This window comes from Homo sapiens, chromosome 2, assembly GCF_000001405.40.
Source record: "Homo sapiens chromosome 2, GRCh38.p14 Primary Assembly".
Lineage (NCBI taxonomy): Eukaryota > Metazoa > Chordata > Mammalia > Primates > Hominidae > Homo > Homo sapiens.
Window position 1 is genome coordinate 120,324,948 of NC_000002.12, and position 1,720 is coordinate 120,326,667.

A 1,720-nucleotide genomic window follows, 5' to 3' on the forward strand; every position below is an offset into this window, starting at 1 on the left:
CCAACTGACCAACAACTTCCTCTAACCAGCTGTCAAGGACAGTCTGGCCCTGGGGTCACAGACACCAGAGTATTATTTTGGGGATTGCCACTCACCTGCTGGGGTGACCCAGGGCAACTTGACCACTGGATCCCATGTAATCTCCAGTTTAAGCATGGACCATCGTGGCTGGTGCTGGGGAACGCTCGGTGTGCCCTGCTCTCTCAGCCTCACAACAGCTGTTGTGCAGGGAGAAGGGCAGGTGCAGCCCGCCTTGCGCAGATGAGCAAGCTGAGGCCTGGGAGGGGCCCAGCGTCGGCTGCTCTGATGGGGCCAGGCCCCTCATACTGAATGCCTTGGCTCCTAATCCCACCCATCTTTCCAAGGGTGGGTGAGGCATGAAGGTATGATTGATGTCATTCCCCGAGTTACTAGGCTTGGAGGGCAGTCCTGAGACACCCCTTGTTGTTCCTCACTTTGGATCTTTCTTGCTTTCTTTCTCTCCCTCTCTCTCTCTTGCTTTGTTTGTTTTTTTGGTTTTTTTTTGTTTTTTTTTTTTGTTTTTTTTTGAGACTGAATTTCTCTCTGTTGCCCAGGCTGGAGTGCTATGGCACAGTCTCAGCTCACTGCAAACTCTGCCTCCCGGGCTCAAGCAATTCTCCTGCCTCAGCCTCCCGAGCAGCTGGGATTACAGGTACGTGCCACCGCACCTGGCTAATTTTTGTATTTTTAGTAGAGACGGGGTTTCACCATGTTGCCCAGGCTGGTCTTGAACTCCTGACCTCAGGTGATCCACCCACCTAGGCCTCCCAAAGTGCTGGGATTATAGGTGTGAGCCACTGCACCCGGCCCCCACTTTGGATTCCTATGAAGAGCTTAGAAAGACAAAAACTGAAAAACCCATGGATGGAAAGTCAAGCGGCCGTGGATCAGGCAATGTTGACTCCTCGTTGGGTTGTTATCCCTTCTTCACACGGCACAAATTTCCTTTGCATCTAAACCCAACTTCTTTAAGACTCTGGCTTATAAATATCTGCTTTCTCTTAGATTCATGCCAGGCTCAGAGCCTGTCCCGGTGACAGACGCCCAAACACCTTGATGGCTGAGGAAAAGTAGAGCGAGGAGGGCTCTCTGAAGATGCAAGCGTGTGGGTGGGACAAGTACAGGCAGCAGTGGAGATGAATTCACTTGGGATGGATTCCAAGGTTGTCTACACCTGGAGCAGTCACAGACTTCAACATATCTTTAAGTGTGGTGCCACCAGTAGCTGAGTTCAGGCCACTCCACGCCCAGCCACTGTTTCTGTTCAGGCCAAGGGAGCTGATGCGGGAACTCACCAGCATCGTGGGAAGCAGCTGCTCATTGTCCTTTGTCGCTTCTGAAACGTTCGGCAGCAGCACAGAAGAGACATCACCCCTTAATGCTTTATTTACATGAGCTCTTTTGAGAAACTTTTTTTTTTTTTTTGAGACAGACTTTCACTCTTGTTGCCCAGGCTGGAGTGCAATGGAACGATCTCGGCTCACTGCAACCTCTGCCTCCCAGGTTCAAGCAATTCTCCTGCCTCAGCCTCCCTAGGAGCTGGGATTACAAGCGTGCACCACCACGCCCGGCTAATTTTTTTATTTTTAATAGACATGGGGTTTCACCATGTTGGCCAGGCTGGTTTCGAACTCCTGACAACAGGTGATCCACCCACCTCAGCCTCCCAAAGTGCTGGGATTACAGGCGTGAGCCACCG

The 1,720-nt window shown here is 51.5% G+C and overlaps 1 annotated feature.

Annotated features, from left to right (window-relative positions):
* Positions 212–712: an enhancer, noted in NCBI's record as "H3K4me1 hESC enhancer chr2:121082735-121083235 (GRCh37/hg19 assembly coordinates)". NCBI's record gives its function as "activates a minimal SCP1, AML or CMV promoter by ChIP-STARR-seq in primed H9 embryonic stem cells {active_cell/tissue: H9 hESC(primed)}" and the evidence as "EXISTENCE:reporter gene assay evidence [ECO:0000049][PMID:30033119]".